We start from the raw sequence: 13,897 nt of genomic DNA, 5'->3' as shown, positions 1-13,897 counted from the left end.
CCCCGGTGACAGTGGAGTCATGACTCTCAGACCTCAGCAATGTGACTTCCCAGATTCTCGTCTTTTTCATCCATACTTTGATTTTGGTCATTAAGAGTTAACCAGGCGTAAGCTGGGTGTGGTGGCTCACGCCTGTAATCCCAGCACTTTGGGAGGCTGGGAGGGGGTGGTCACCTGAGGTCAGGGGTTCAAGACCAGCCCGGCCAACATGGTGAAACTCCACCTCTACTAAACAAAAAATTAGCCAGGGCGTGGTGGCGGGCGCCTGTAATCCCCACTTGTCAGGAGGCTGAGGCAGAAGAATCGCTTGATCGGGCAGAGGTTGCAGTGAGCCGAGATCACACCACTGCACTCCAGCCTGGGTGACAGAGCATGACTCCGTCTAAAAAAAAAAAGAGTTAACCAGGTACAGAGTTTTCAGTTAGACGTTATTAGAGGCCACCATGGTTTAAAAAGTACAGAAAAGGGGCAGGAAGTGGTGGTCGCTGGGCTTGGCCCTGTGGGATTAATGCACTTCTTCCTGTGAGCGTTACCAGCTTCTGTACCCAGAGAATTGCTACACAGAGTAAAAATTCCCTGACCACCTTCTGTGGCCTTAACTTTCTGAAATATTAAGGATATAATTTTTTTTGGTCTATAGAACCCTTAAGGGGACATGTATGTATCTGAACTTTTTCCTTTTCTCCATGGAGTTGCTACGTGTTTGCAGGCACTGCACTGACAGGTATATTTTAAGCTGTGTCTGTCTCAGCAGCTCGAAGCTCCACGCTGCGTCCTGCTACAGAGCTCAGCAGTGGGTGTCAGGAGTGGTTTTGGCAGAGATGAATGGGTCACTTCTTCCTGGCTTAGAGTGGCGGCAGGTACTGTCAGGAATTTGGGTTGAGTGTAGGACAGAGGACGTATCGCTGATGGGAGGCTCAGGATTTTTTTTTTTTTTTTTTTTTGGAGACGGAGTCTCACTCTGTGGCCCAGGCTGGTGTGCGGCGGCGCGATCTCGGCTCACTGCAAGCTACGCCTCCCAGGTTCACGCCATTCTCCTGCCTCAGCCTCCTGAGTAGCTGGGACTACAGGCTCCCGCCACCACGCCCGGCTAATTTCTTTTTGTATTTTAGTAGAGACGGGGTTTCACCGTGTCGGCCCGGATGGTCTCGATCTCCTGACCTCATGATCCGCCCGCCTCGGCCTCCCAAAGTGCTGGGATTACAGGCATGAAGGAGACTCAGGATTTAAAAATTACCAGGTCACTCAGAAATCTGAGACCTCGGGTAGTATTAGGAAGCAGGCCAGGCACAGTGGCTCATGCCTGTAATCCCAGCGCTTTGGGAGGCTGAGGCGGGTGAATCACTCAAGATCAGGAATTTGAAACCCGCCTGGCTAACATGGTGAAACCCCATCTCTACTAAAAATACAAAAATTAGCCGGGCGTGGTGATGGGCGCCTGTAATCCCAGCTACTCAGGAAGCTGAGGCAGGAGAATTGTTGAAGCCGGGAGGTGGAGGCTGCAGTGAGTGGAGTTCGTGCCGTTGCACTCCAGCCTGGGCAACAAAGTTGAGACTCGAGATAAAAAAAAAAAGCAGGAAGCAGATAATGGGGGAAACTAAGACGACTGCACTTCCGCCGTCTAGCTTGATGGATAAACATGACAGTTGCTGGCAGCGTCCCCAAGCCTTTCCCAGATGACGAGAGCAAGTCCCAGCACTTGGTGGCGTCTACAGTCGGGAGCATTTGTTGGAACTTGGCGGCCTCTACACAAGCTTCCGTCTGAGGGGGAATGTTGCAGGTTGCGATAAAGAGCATACTTGGGCAGTGGCCTTTCTCCTGGACACAGGGCAATGTTAAACTGCTGCTGGGCCGCCTCTGCCCATGTTTGCAACGCCCTCTGCTCGCCTGTGTGTGGGGGCGTCCTACAGCCCTCCTCCTGGCAGTGCCCTCTTCACCTCTGTGTGGGGGTGTCCTACAGCCCTCCCCCTGGCAGTGCCCTCTTCACCTGTGTGTGGGGGCGTCCTACACCCTTCCCCCGGCTCCACCACTGGCTGCCGGTGACCTTCACAGTGTCCACATCTCTAAGTTCTGACTCCATCTGAAGTGAGGGCTGAAGGTGGCGGAACCTCTGGGAGGCGTGAAAGCCGACTGTGGGCGCCCAAGGCAGCTGAGGGCTGGCGATGCCCTCGTTACTGATGAGGTGGGAACCTCTAGCCCCAAAGGCAGCATGTCCTGGTGGCACCTGGGGAGGCAGCTCTGGGAGCACCACCAGGACACCCATCTCCGCGGCCATCGGCTCAGGGATTTGCGGGAGATTGCTGGGCTTTTCTACACATCGTCGGGGTTGGATTTCACCTTCACATGAAATAGATATATTTTGAGACGGAGTTTCACTCTTGTTGCCCAGGCTGGAGTGCAGTGTCTCGATCTCAGCTCACTGCAACCTCTGCCTGCCAGGTTCAAGTGACTCTCCTGCCTCAGCCTCCAGAGTAGCTGGGCTTACAGGCTCCCGCCACCACGCCCGGCTAATTTTTGTATTTTCAGTAGAGATGGGGTTTCACCATTTTGTTCAGGCTGGTCTTGAACCCCTGACCTCAGGTGATTCACCTGCCTCTGCCTCCCAAAGTGCTAGGATTACAGGCATGAGCCACCGCGCCCGGCCCACAGTGAAATATTTTTGAGTGTCATGTCTAAATGCCCTGAAACCCAGAGAAGGACAATCTTGTCTCTGCTCGCGGAGCCTCCCACAGCACTTCAATTGTTGCAAGATTTCCTTCTGAGCGTTAAACGTGCATTTCTGGAGACTGGATAGATACGTCAAGTGTATCTTCCCAATGCTTTCAAAAATGCCCCCATCTTCACCCAGAAAACAGACCCCCCCCCCCCGCCACCTGCCTGTCCCTGCAGCTGGGCGTCTGATGGTCACGGCCGTAGCTCCCCTGAAACCCCTCATTCCCCTGCATCAGCCCAGGTCCCACCAGGTTCTGGAGCCTGTACGTTTCCACTCAGGGCCGTTATCTCCACCTGAGGGCCTCTGGCGTCCTGCGGTTGCCGTCCCTGCCCCTGCATTTCCTCTGCTGAACCACTTGGCCTGGGCTGTTTTCCTGACTAGACCCTACTGTATGTAACATACGGCTGGGTTTCTACAAGTGCTAAATAGCCATTGATAACAAACTTAATAGACACACGGCCTTTAAGGAAATCCAATTAATATTGAAAAAGAAGGGGAAGAAAAGAAATTAGCTACTCCCTGCTCATCTAGGGCTTTTCCCAGCACGTTGGGAGTAAATCCTCGAGCTGTGAGACTTCAGCTTCCGCTCAGTCCCTGGGGCTCACATGGCCCCTTTGTGATCTCGGATCAGAAATGAAGTAGAAGTTAAATTACAACTAGGAATAAAATCAGGGCTGGGCGCAGTGGCTCACGACTGTAATCCCAGCACTTTGGGAGGCCGAGGTGGGCGGATCATGAGGTCAGGAGATCAAGACCATCCTGGCTAACGCGGTGAAACCCCGTCTCTACTAAAAATACAAAAAATTAGCCGGGCGTGGTGGCGGGCGCCTGTAGTCCCAGCTACTGGGGAGGCTGAGGCAGGAGAATGGCGTGAACCCGGAAGGCGGAGCTTGCAGTGAGCCGAGATCGCGCCACTGCACTCCAGCCTGGGCGACATAGCAAGACTCCGTCTCAAAAAAAAAAAAATTCAGAACGGCTCTCAGAAGAGGCCATTGATTCTAATAAGCTTCATTTTGTTCATTCACCGGAAATCTACTTCTACCTGCAGGAGTTTACGTCTCAAAGTTTTTCATTTCTACCTAAACAGTAGCTAATATAGGGTTGGCTTCTGAACAGTGGAGTTGTTCTCCATGTTTTCCTGTGATTGTTCCTTTCTCATTTAACTGGGAGTGGATGCATTACATGGGGGTGAGGGCATGGCCCTATCAGGACCCTGGCTGCTTACCTGGATTCCACAGAAGTCCTGGTGTCAAGGCTGGTGGAGCTGCTGCACCAGAGACCCTCAAGCATGAAAACAGGATTGACCAGGACAGCCTCACGGTGCCGAGAACGAAAGTGCCTTCCCTCTCCGCTAATCCACAGCGTCCACCTGCCCGAGAACAGCTCTCCCAGTCCCACCTTCCGTCCCGCTCTGAGGTGAGCGGGGAGAGAAAAGACAGGAATGCGCATTGTGGGCGCTTGGGCTCCGTGGCCGCGTCCATCACCGTCCGTCCACTCTCCGCTGCCTTTGCTTAGTCATGTGGTCGCTGGATGTGTTCAGGAGACGGCAGCGTCTCCACAGCCCACTGAGAGCTTCTGTAACTAAGAAAAAGCTCTTAATAACTTAATGGAGAGTGGACGCTGGGTGTCAACAGCTGACTACAGCTGACCATTTAACAAATCGGCTCTAAAGCCCTTCATGTATGGAGGCTCCGTAACGAGGACTTACATAATTACCTTTTTATGTATGTATGTACGTACTTGTTTATTTATTTATTTTTGAGACAGGGTCTCTCTCTCCCAGGCTGGAGGGCAATGGCGCAATCTTCGCTCACTGCAGCCTTGACCTCCCAGGCTCAAGTAATCCTCCCTCCTCAAGGCGTGTGCCACCACGTTCAGCTAATTTTTTAAATTTTTAGCACAGACAGCGTCTCGCCATATTGCTCAGGCTGGTCTCCACCTCCTGGGCTCAAGCGATCCTCCTGTCTCGACCTCCCAAAGTGCTGGGATTACAGGTGTGAGCCACCGTGCCCAGCCTTCTTGGGCCTCTTCTAAGGGAAGTATATAAGGCTCTGTCCCATGACCTATCACCTCCCACAAGCCCCACATCCTAATACCATCACCTTGGGGGTTAGGGTTTCTTTTTTTTTTTGAGACAGAGTCTCGCTCTGTCACCCAGGCTGGAGTGCAGTGGCGCGATCTTGGCTCACTGCAAGCTCCGCCTCCCGGGTTCACACCATTCTCTTGCCTCAGCCTCCCGAGTAGCTGGGACTACAGGTGCCTTCCAGCATGCCCGGCTAATTTTTTGTATTTTTTAGTAGAGACTGGGTTTCACCGTGTTAGCCAGGATGGTCTCGATCTCCTGACCTCGTGATCTGCCCGCCTCGGCCTCCCAAAGTGCTGGGATTACAGGCGTGAGCCACCACGCCCGGCCAAGGGGGGTTAGGGTTTCAACATACGAACGCTGGGGACAGACACTCAGAATACAGCAGAGGTGTACGTTTAACTTTGAAAGAAACTGCCTCACTATTTTCCAAGGTGGTTAACTCAGTGTTTGCTCTTGCCAGCAAAATTTGATATTGCCAATTTTTAAATTTTAGCCATTCTGGTGGATTTCAAGCAGCATCTCATCGTGGTTTGAATTTCCATTTCATCCATCTTCAAAATTACTGACCCTTTCTTCTGTAGTGCCCAACCAACCATTAGTACCATCCAATGATATTTTTTAAGAGATGGGGTCTTGCTATGTTGGTCAGGCTGGCGTGCAGTGGCTATTCACAGGCGAGATCACGCTCATGGCAGCCTCGAACTCCCGGACTGAAACTACCATCACCCCTCACGCTCCAGAGTTGCTGAGACTACAGACCTGAGCCACCTCGCTCAGATCAATTATGTTTTTAACCAAGGATATCAATTATATTTTTCAGGTCTTTCATTTTCATTTAATAATATCTAAATTAGGCGGGGCGCGGTGGCTCACGCCTGTAATCCCAGCACTTTGGGAGGCCGAGGCTGGTGGATCACTTGACATCAAGAATTCGAGACCAGTCTGGCCAACATGAGGAAACCCCGTCTCTACTAAACATGCAAAAATTAGCCAGGCGTGGTGGTGGGCACCTGTAATCCCAGCTACTTGGGAGGCTGAGGCAGGAGAATCGCTTGAGCCCAGGAGGCGGAGGCTGCAGTGAGCCGAGATCGCGCCACTGCACTTCAGCCTGGGCGACAGAGCAAGACACCGCATCAAAAAATAAATAAAACATCTAAATTACATACAGTAAAATCCTCCTTCCCTTTTTCGAGACAGGGTCTCACTATTAGGTTGGTGCAAAAGTAATTGCGGCTTTTACCATGACTTTCAAAATATTTGCCCGGGCTGGTCTCGAGCTCCCGGGCCGTGGGGATCCTCCCGCCTCGCCTCCCAAGGCGCTGGGACTCCGGACGCAGCCGCCGCGCCCGGCAAAATCCGCGCTTTCAACTGCGCGTCAGGGCCCCTTGGTGAAGGAGCGGGAAGCTCCGCCGGTCTCCATAGCGCCGGCGGCCTGTTCTGCGGGTTCGCGGGGGAGTGAGAGGCGCTTCCTCACTCCTGCTCCAGGACGGGACGACGGCCGCAAACAGTACTCGGGCTCGGAGCACACGAACCCGGAGGCCGCTTCGTTCTCGGAGACGCACAGCGCCCCACGGACGCCAGGCCGGGGCCGGGAGGCGCGAAGAAGCGCCGCCCCGCGCCCGGCCCCGCCCTGGTGGCCTCCCCGGGCCCCAGCCCCGGCCCCCGCCAGCACATTGCGCTCCCCGCGCCTCGCCGGTCCCAGGACCCCGCGTCGGGCTGCCCGCGCCCCGCCTGCCGCGCCCGCCCGTCCGCTCGCCCGTTCCCGCCCGCTTGGGTCCCAGGGCCGGGGCCGCGCCCTCGCCGGGCCTCCGCGAGCGGGGCCGCCGTCCGTGTCCCCCGCGCCGCCCCGGCCGCCTCGAGCGCGGCGCCGTCAGGCAGGGCGCGGGCAGCCCGGCGCGGGGTCCTGGGACGGGCGCGGCGCGGGGCGCGGGCTTCTCGGCGGCTGCGGCCCGGGCGGCGGCGATGCTGTGGCCGCGGCTGGCGGCGGCCGAGTGGGCGGCGCTGGCCTGGGAGCTGCTGGGCGCCTCGGTGCTGCTGATCGCTGTGCGGTGGCTGGTGCGGCGGCTGGGCCCGCGGCCGGGAGGTCTGGGCCGCAGCGGGACCCCAGTTCCTCCGCCAAGCGCGGCCGCCGCCCCCGCCTCAGGTAAGGCCCAGGCGGTCGCTGGGTCCCCGCACCCTGGCCCCTTCCCCGCCCCGACGCCCTCCTCGGGCCTGGGGTCCCGGCCGCGCCCCTGGAGCCGGCAGCAGTTGGGCGAGGCGGCCGGGGAAACCAGGGCCGGTCGGGAAAGGCCATTCCGGCCGCGGAAAGGGCAGTTGCGGGGACTTGGCTTCCCGGGCCGGGGGCGGAGGGGCCACGCCGGGTTCGGGGGTGAGAGCTTTCCCGGGCCCTGGAGCAGCCTCCGGGGAAGGCGGCGGGGGCCCGGCGAGGCGTTAGCGGAGACTCTTGCTGCGGTCTCTCGAGACCTGGGGAGGGATGGCCCAAAGGAGGGCGGCGCGGGGAGGAAACCCCTGGGTCCCGGATGTGTTTGGAACGTGAAGCCATTGCGGTTACTGGTCATGGAACATAAGGCAGAGACGGAAAAGGCAAATGTAACTCAGGGGTTTGGGGCCAGAGGAAGAGGGAGAAGGTGGCCATTTATTGCTTTGCGGTAGACTGTCGGGTCTGGGTGATGTGGAGATCAGAGGTGGGTTTTGGTCGTTTTAAGTTTGAGGTAACTGATACAGTGAACTGTGTATTTCAGCTCCATCCCCTTTTCCTGGCATACAACTCTTGAAATCCCGGGAACCTCCAAAGTGATGTCTTTTGTAGGCTGAGTGGACTGGTGGCCGGCAGCCCCTAGGGAGCTTCTGGATGGGGCTGGTCGCAGGAAAGACCAAGGCAGGGTTAGAGGTTCTGGGGACTTTCAGCCCCACCCCCAACCTCTGGGGAGGAGAGAGGGGTGAAGGTTGCGTTGATCACCAGTGGCTGATGAATCACGCCTGTGAAATGAAGTTCCTGTAAAAACCCAAAAGGGCTGGGTTCAGGGAGCTTCCAGATAGTACGTGGGGGTTCCTGGAGGCGGTGCCCAGAGAGGCCCTGAATTTCCAAGCGCTTCCCCCCGGTTTTACGTCACGCATCTCTTCACCTGTATTCTTTGTAATCCTTTATACTCTGCTGGTAAGTGTAAGTAAAACATGTCTGTGAGTTCGGGAGCCACTCTAGCAAATTACCGCAACCTGAGGAGGTCACCGGGTTACGCCCCGTCGGTCCCAAGCGCAGGTCAAACAACCTGGGCACTGGAAGTGGGGGGCAGTCTTGCGGGGCTGAGCCGTTAACCTGTGGGGGTCTGCTGGTATCTCCAGGAAGACGCTGTCAGAATAGATGACTGAATTAGGATGACAGACGACACCCAGCCTGTGTCCACTGCAGAACTGACGACCTGCGTGATTTGTGGGGAGAAAATCCCCACATACCTGGTGTCCGAAGCATGTTGCAAGACTAGTGGGAGAAACTGAGTTTGTTTTTACTCTAAATTGTCAGACTGTTAGTCACTGCGGAGAGGTGCTTTCTGATGATTGAGTGGGGATTCCTGTCCAATTGTGTGAGTTTGTGTCTCGGCCCTACCACTTTTTTTTTTTTTTTTTTTTGAAATGTAGTCTCGCCCTGTGGCCCAGGCTGGAGTGCAGTGGCGCGATCTCGGCTCACTGCAAGCTCCGCCTCCCGGGTTCAAGCGATTCTCCTGCATCAGCCTCCCGAGTAGCTGGGATTACAGGCGCCTGCCACCACGCCCGGCTAATTTTTGTATTTTTAATAGAGACGGGGTTTCACCATGTTGGCCAGGATGGTCTCGAATTCCTGACCTCAGGTGATCCACCTGCCTCAGCTTCCCAAAATGCTGGGATTACAGGTGTGAGCCATCGCACCGGGCCCTACCACTTATTGCTGTGGGCTTAACCTGTTTTCAGCCTGCTCTTTTAGGAATGGGGATGATAGTGATACCTGGTTAGGCTTTTTTGGGAGTTGGGTAAGTGCAGCACTTGGTATGTGTTAAGCACCTCTGAGTGCTGTTACTGTCACCAGCGGCATCATCCAGGCAGAGCTGCGGACAAGGTGGCGGCGGGTGAGGGTGGTGTTTTGAGAATGGCTGAAATAAAAAAATACTGATTTATTTTATATAAAAATATGTTTTTATATATGATGTATAATATACGTATATCATGGCATATGATACGTGTATATCATATAGCACATATAGTATACATATATATAGTCAGCAGAGATTTAGAGAAACTGGGCCTCGTGCATTGCAGGTGGGGACGGTAAGTGGTGCAGCTACTCTGGGAATCAGCCTGGCAGGTTTTTAGGAAGTTAAACCTGCCCTGCATTCCTGAGCTTTTATTAGACAAATGAAAACTATTTTCACACAAAAACCCATATTTAATGTTCATAGCAACTTTATTTGTAATTACCAGAAACTGAAATAACTCAAATGGTTAAACTTGCACACTGATACCCCGGGGTGCCACTCCGCAGCGATCCTCTCTGCCACGTGGGTGCCCCGGGGTGCCACTCTGCATGATCCACTCTGCCACGTGGGTGCCCCGGGGTGCCACTCCGCAGCGATCCTCTCTGCCACGTGGGTGCCCCGGGGTGCCACTCTGCGTGATCCACTCTGCCACGTGGGTGCCCCGGGGTGCCACTCCGCAGCGATCCTCTCTGCCACGTGGGTGCCCCGGGGTGCCACTCCGCAGCGATCCACTCTGCCACGTGGGTGCCCCGGGGTGCCACTCCGCAGCGATCCTCTCTGCCACGTGGGTGCCCCGGGGTGCCACACTGCGTGATCCACTCTGCCACGTGGGTGCCCCGGGGTGCCACTCCGCAGCGATCCACTCTGCCACGTGGGTGGATCTCAAGGGCATTATGCTGAATAGGAAAAGCCAGTCTCAAAAGTTGTGTACTTGGCCGGTTGCGGTGGCTCATGCCTGTAATCCCAGCACTTTGGGAGGCCGAGGCAGGTGGATCACAAGGTCAGGAGTTCAAGATCAGCCTGGCCAACATGGTGAGGCAGTCTCCACTAAAAATACAAAAAAATAGCGGGGCGTGGTGGCAGGTACCTGTAATCCCAGCTACTCGGGAGGCTGAGGCAGCAGAATTGCTTGAACCCAGGAGGTGGAGGTTGCGGTGAGCAGAGATCGTGCCACTGCACTCCAGCCTGGGCGACAGAGCAAGACTCCATCTCAAAAAAAAAAAAATTGTTAATGGAACATTATAACCCAGTGTTCAGACCTAGCTGTTTCTCACATCTTTACCCATCGATCTGTCAAAGACCTTGTGATCATACTGATACTTCCAATTTCAATGCGACGTCCGCGGGTTTATTCTTTTTTTTTTAGGTGGAGTCTCACTCTGTTGTCCAGGCTGGAGACTCACTGCAACCTCTGCCTGCCCAGTTCAAGCGATTCTCCCACCTAGCCTGCTGAGTAGCTGGGATGACAGGTGCATGCCACCATGCCTGGCTAATTTTTGTGTTTTTAGTAGACACCTGGTTTCATCATGTTGGCCAGGCTGGTCTCAAACACCTGACCTCAAATGATCCATGCACCTTGGCCTCCCAAAGTGCTGGGATTACCAGCATGAGCCACCGTGTCCGGCTCCCTGGCTTTATTCTAATGCAAGAGTCAGTAAACTGTGGTCCAAACTGGCCCCCACCTATTTTCCTTAGTAAAGTTTTATTGGAATACAACCATACCCTTTTGTTTATGTATATCTGTGGCTGTTCTTTTTTTTTTTTTTTTTGGAGACGGGGTCTTGCTCTGTTGCCCAGGTTGGAGTGCAGTGGCACAAACAGGGCTCACTGCATCCTCAAACTCTTAGGCTTAATTTATCCTCCTTCCTCAGCCCCCCAAGTAGTTGGAACCACAGGTGCACGTCACCACACTCAGCTAATTTTTTTTTTTTGAGACGGAGTCTCGCTCTGTCGCCCAGGCTGGAGTGCAGTGCCGCCATCTCTGCTCACTGCAAGTTCTGCCCCCTGGGTTCACACCATTCTCCTGCCTCAGCCTCCTGAGTAGCTGGGACTACAGGCGCCCGCCACCATGGCCGGCTAATTTTTTAGTATTTTTAGTAGAGACAGGGTTTCACCGTGTTTGCCAGGATAGTCTCAATCTCCTGACCTCATGATCCACCTGCCTCGGCCTCCCAAAGTGCTGGGATTACAGGCATGAGTCACCGCGCCCAGCCATCAGATAATTTTTAAAGTTTTTGTAGAAAGGGTGTCGCTGTGTTACCCAGGCTGGTCTTGAACTCCTGGGCTCAAGTGATCTTCCCGCCTCGGCCTCCCCAAGCGCTGGGGTGACAGGTGTGAGCCGCCACACGCGGCCTGTGGCTGTTCTGAGCACTCACGTGGCCTTTGGCTCATAGAGTCTGAGATGCTTACTCTCTCGCCCTTTACAGGAATCGTTTGCTGAAACCCTGTTCTCACTCCCACTTTCCTTTCTGTCATTGAGAGTCCTGGCTCTCATCAGCCACCGTGTATTCCAATTATTTGCTTTGCCCTAGAGTCCACAGAAAATAGCTTTAGGTGTGTTAACCTATACCATTGTGAAAACATCTACTGCCTAGAGCCTGTTCACACGGTAATGGTGCACAGTCCTTTTTGTCTTTCTCCTTAGAGCACCTAGTCACTCACTGTTTTCCAAAGTTACGTAGGTTAGCTTCCCCTGTGTTACTCACTTGTAATACAGTTAGGTGCATTTCTTCTGGCTAGTATTCCATGTGGGTGTCTCCCCCATCTTTTTGTTTATTTACTTATTTCTTTTTTTTTTGTTTTTTTTGTTGTTGTTGTTTTATTGAGGTGGAGTCTCGCTCTGTTGCCCAGGCTGGAGTGTAGTGGTGCGATCTCGGCTCACTGTGACCTCTGCCTCCTGGGTTCCAGCGAGTCTCCTGCCTCAGGTTCCCGAGTAGCTGGGATTACAGGTGCCCGCCACTGCGCCTGTCTAATTTTTGTATTTTTTTTTTAGTAGAGATGGGGTTTCACCATCTTGGCCAGGCTGGTCTCGAACTGCTGACCTCGTGATCCACCCACCTCGGTCTCCCAAAGTGCTGCGATTACAGGCGTGAGCCACCGCACCCGGCTTTACTTATTTGAGTATGTAAATCACGAACATGTTTTTAAAAGTCAGAACCCTGTAGAAACTTAAATTCAGATGTATTACTCCCCCCCGCCATCTTTTTTTTTGTTGTTGTTGTTGAGACAGGGTCTGATTCTGTCACCCAGGCTGGAGTGCAGGGTTGCCATCTCAGCTCGTGGTGGCATCCACCTCCCAGGCTCAAGTGATCCTCCTGCCTCAGCCCCCTGAGTAGCTGGGGCTGTAGGTGTGCACTACTATGCTCGGGTAATTTTTTTTTTTTGAAACAAGGTCTTGCTCTTGTCCCCTAGGCTGGAGTGCAGTGGCGTGATTTCGGCTCACTGCAACCTCCACCTACTGGGTTCAAGCAATTCTCTTGCCTCAGCCTCCCGAGTAGCTGGGGTTACAGGCATGTACCACCACGCCCGGCTAATTTTTGTATTTTTAGTAGAGACAGGGTTTCACCATGTTGGCCAGGCTGGTCTCGAACTCCCGACCTCAGGTGATCTGCCTGCCTCCCAAAGAATACAACGGGCTGGGCATGGTGGCTTATGCCTGTAATCCCAGCACTTTGGGAGGTTGGGAGTTCAAGACCAGCCTGACCAACATGGAGAAACCCCGTCTCTACTAAAAGTACAAAATTAGCTGGGCGTGGTGGTGCACGCCTGTAATCCCAGCTACTCGGGAGGCTTGAGGCAGGAGAACCGCTTGAACCCAGGAGGCAGAGGTTGCAGTGAGCTGAGATCGCACCACTGCACTCCAGCCTGCCTGGTGACAGAGCGAGACTCCGTCTCAAAAAGAAAAAAGGCTCACGCCTGTAATCCAAACACTTTGGGAGGCCAAGGCAGGTGGATCACCTGAGGTCGGGAGTGCAAGACCAACCTGGCCAACATGGTGAAACCCCGTCTCTCCTAAAAATACAAAAATTAGCTAGGTGTGATTCCAGGCGCCTGTAGTCCCAGCTACTTGGGAGGCTGAGGCTGGAGAATCACTTGAACTCAGGAGGTAGAGGTTGCAGTGAGCTGCGATAGCACCACTGCACTCCAGCCTGTGCGACAGAGGGAGACACCATCTCGAAAAAAAAAAGAAAAATTCTTTTTTTTTTTTTGAGCTGGAGTTTCGCTCTTGTTGTCTAAGCTGGAGTGCAGGGGTGTGATCTCGGCTAATTGCAGCCTCCGCCTCCTGGGTTCAAGCGATTCTCCAGCCTCAGCCTCCCAAGTAGCTGGGATTACAGGCATCCGCCACCACACCCGGCTAATTTTTTGTATTTTCAGTAGAGACGTGGTTTCACCATGTTGGCCGGGCTGGTCTCGAACTCCTGACCTCAGATGATCCGCCCGCCTCAGCCTCCCAAAATGCTGGGATTACAGGCGTGAGCCACCGCGTCCAGCCAAGAAAAAAAGTTTTTAATGAAAGAAACAGAAACTGATGCCATTATATAATGAACCCTAGTACCCATCACCCAGCTTCAGCAGGTGTTAGTATTTTGTGACTCTTTGATTTTTTTGTCTTGGGCCTAGGTGAAATGACAATGGATGCTCTGTTGGCTCGATTGAAACTTCTGAATCCAGATGACCTTAGAGAAGAAATCGTCAAAGCCGGATTGAAATGTGGACCCATTACATCAACTACAAGGTTCATTTTTGAGAAAAAATTGGCTCAGGCTTTACTGGAGCAAGGAGGAAGGCTGTCTTCTTTCTACCACCATGAGGCAGGTGTCACAGCTCTCAGCCAGGACCCACAAAGGATTTTGAAGCCAGCTGAAGGGAACCCAACTGATCAGGCTGGTTTTTCTGAAGACAGAGATTTTGGTTACAGTGTGGGCCTGAATCCTCCAGAGGAGGAAGCTGTGACATCCAAGACCTGCTCGGTGCCCCCTAGTGACACCGACACCTACAGAGCTGGAGCGACTGCGTCTAAGGAGCCGCCCCTGTACTATGGGGTGTGTCCAGTGTATGAGGACGTCCCAGCGAGAAATGGTAATGGGACCG

General features: G+C 53.9%; 1 protein-coding gene across 7 annotated transcripts in view, besides 8 other annotated features; it reads left to right on the top strand.

Moving 5' to 3' along the window:
- Window positions 488-537: an enhancer, noted in NCBI's record as "active region_7389". NCBI's record gives its function as "activates an Ori minimal core promoter by ATAC-STARR-seq in GM12878 lymphoblastoid cells {active_cell/tissue: GM12878}" and the evidence as "EXISTENCE:reporter gene assay evidence [ECO:0000049][PMID:35858748]".
- Window positions 648-697: an enhancer, noted in NCBI's record as "active region_7388". NCBI's record gives its function as "activates an Ori minimal core promoter by ATAC-STARR-seq in GM12878 lymphoblastoid cells {active_cell/tissue: GM12878}" and the evidence as "EXISTENCE:reporter gene assay evidence [ECO:0000049][PMID:35858748]".
- Window positions 6,060-6,159: an enhancer, noted in NCBI's record as "active region_7387". NCBI's record gives its function as "activates an Ori minimal core promoter by ATAC-STARR-seq in GM12878 lymphoblastoid cells {active_cell/tissue: GM12878}" and the evidence as "EXISTENCE:reporter gene assay evidence [ECO:0000049][PMID:35858748]".
- Window positions 6,310-6,599: a silencer, noted in NCBI's record as "silent region_5127". NCBI's record gives its function as "represses an Ori minimal core promoter by ATAC-STARR-seq in GM12878 lymphoblastoid cells {active_cell/tissue: GM12878}" and the evidence as "EXISTENCE:reporter gene assay evidence [ECO:0000049][PMID:35858748]".
- Window positions 6,310-7,382: a biological region, named in NCBI's record as "H3K27ac hESC enhancer GRCh37_chr12:133337764-133338632".
- Window positions 6,514-7,382: an enhancer, noted in NCBI's record as "H3K27ac hESC enhancer chr12:133337764-133338632 (GRCh37/hg19 assembly coordinates)". NCBI's record gives its function as "activates a minimal SCP1, AML or CMV promoter by ChIP-STARR-seq in primed H9 embryonic stem cells {active_cell/tissue: H9 hESC(primed)}" and the evidence as "EXISTENCE:reporter gene assay evidence [ECO:0000049][PMID:30033119]".
- Window positions 6,690-7,279: a silencer, noted in NCBI's record as "silent region_5126". NCBI's record gives its function as "represses an Ori minimal core promoter by ATAC-STARR-seq in GM12878 lymphoblastoid cells {active_cell/tissue: GM12878}" and the evidence as "EXISTENCE:reporter gene assay evidence [ECO:0000049][PMID:35858748]".
- Window positions 6,728-13,897, top strand: part of ANKLE2 (ankyrin repeat and LEM domain containing 2) — a 36,330-nt gene continuing 29,160 nt past the window's right edge. For 6 of the 7 annotated variants that reach the window (XM_006719735.2, NM_015114.3, XM_011534787.4 and 3 more), the window contains exons 1-2: window positions 6,728-6,942; window positions 13,427-13,885. In XM_006719735.2, coding sequence (XP_006719798.1) covers window positions 6,762-6,942; window positions 13,427-13,885 — 640 coding nt within the window. In that variant the 5' untranslated portion in view covers window positions 6,728-6,761. Of the gene's footprint in view, window positions 6,943-7,404; window positions 7,484-13,426; window positions 13,886-13,897 lie in introns of those variants that run through there. The other variant, XM_005266159.4, reaches the window with a different exon arrangement.
- Window positions 10,938-11,117: a silencer, noted in NCBI's record as "fragment chr12:133334029-133334208 (GRCh37/hg19 assembly coordinates)". NCBI's record gives its function as "represses an EF-1alpha promoter that drives an FKBP-Casp9 reporter gene in an ReSE screen in HepG2 liver carcinoma cells {active_cell/tissue: HepG2}" and the evidence as "EXISTENCE:reporter gene assay evidence [ECO:0000049][PMID:32094911]".

Source organism: Homo sapiens, chromosome 12 (assembly GCF_000001405.40).
Source record: "Homo sapiens chromosome 12, GRCh38.p14 Primary Assembly".
NCBI lineage: Eukaryota > Metazoa > Chordata > Mammalia > Primates > Hominidae > Homo > Homo sapiens.
The sequence above is the reverse complement of the archived record's forward strand: the minus strand, read 5'-3'. Positions and strand labels throughout refer to the sequence as shown.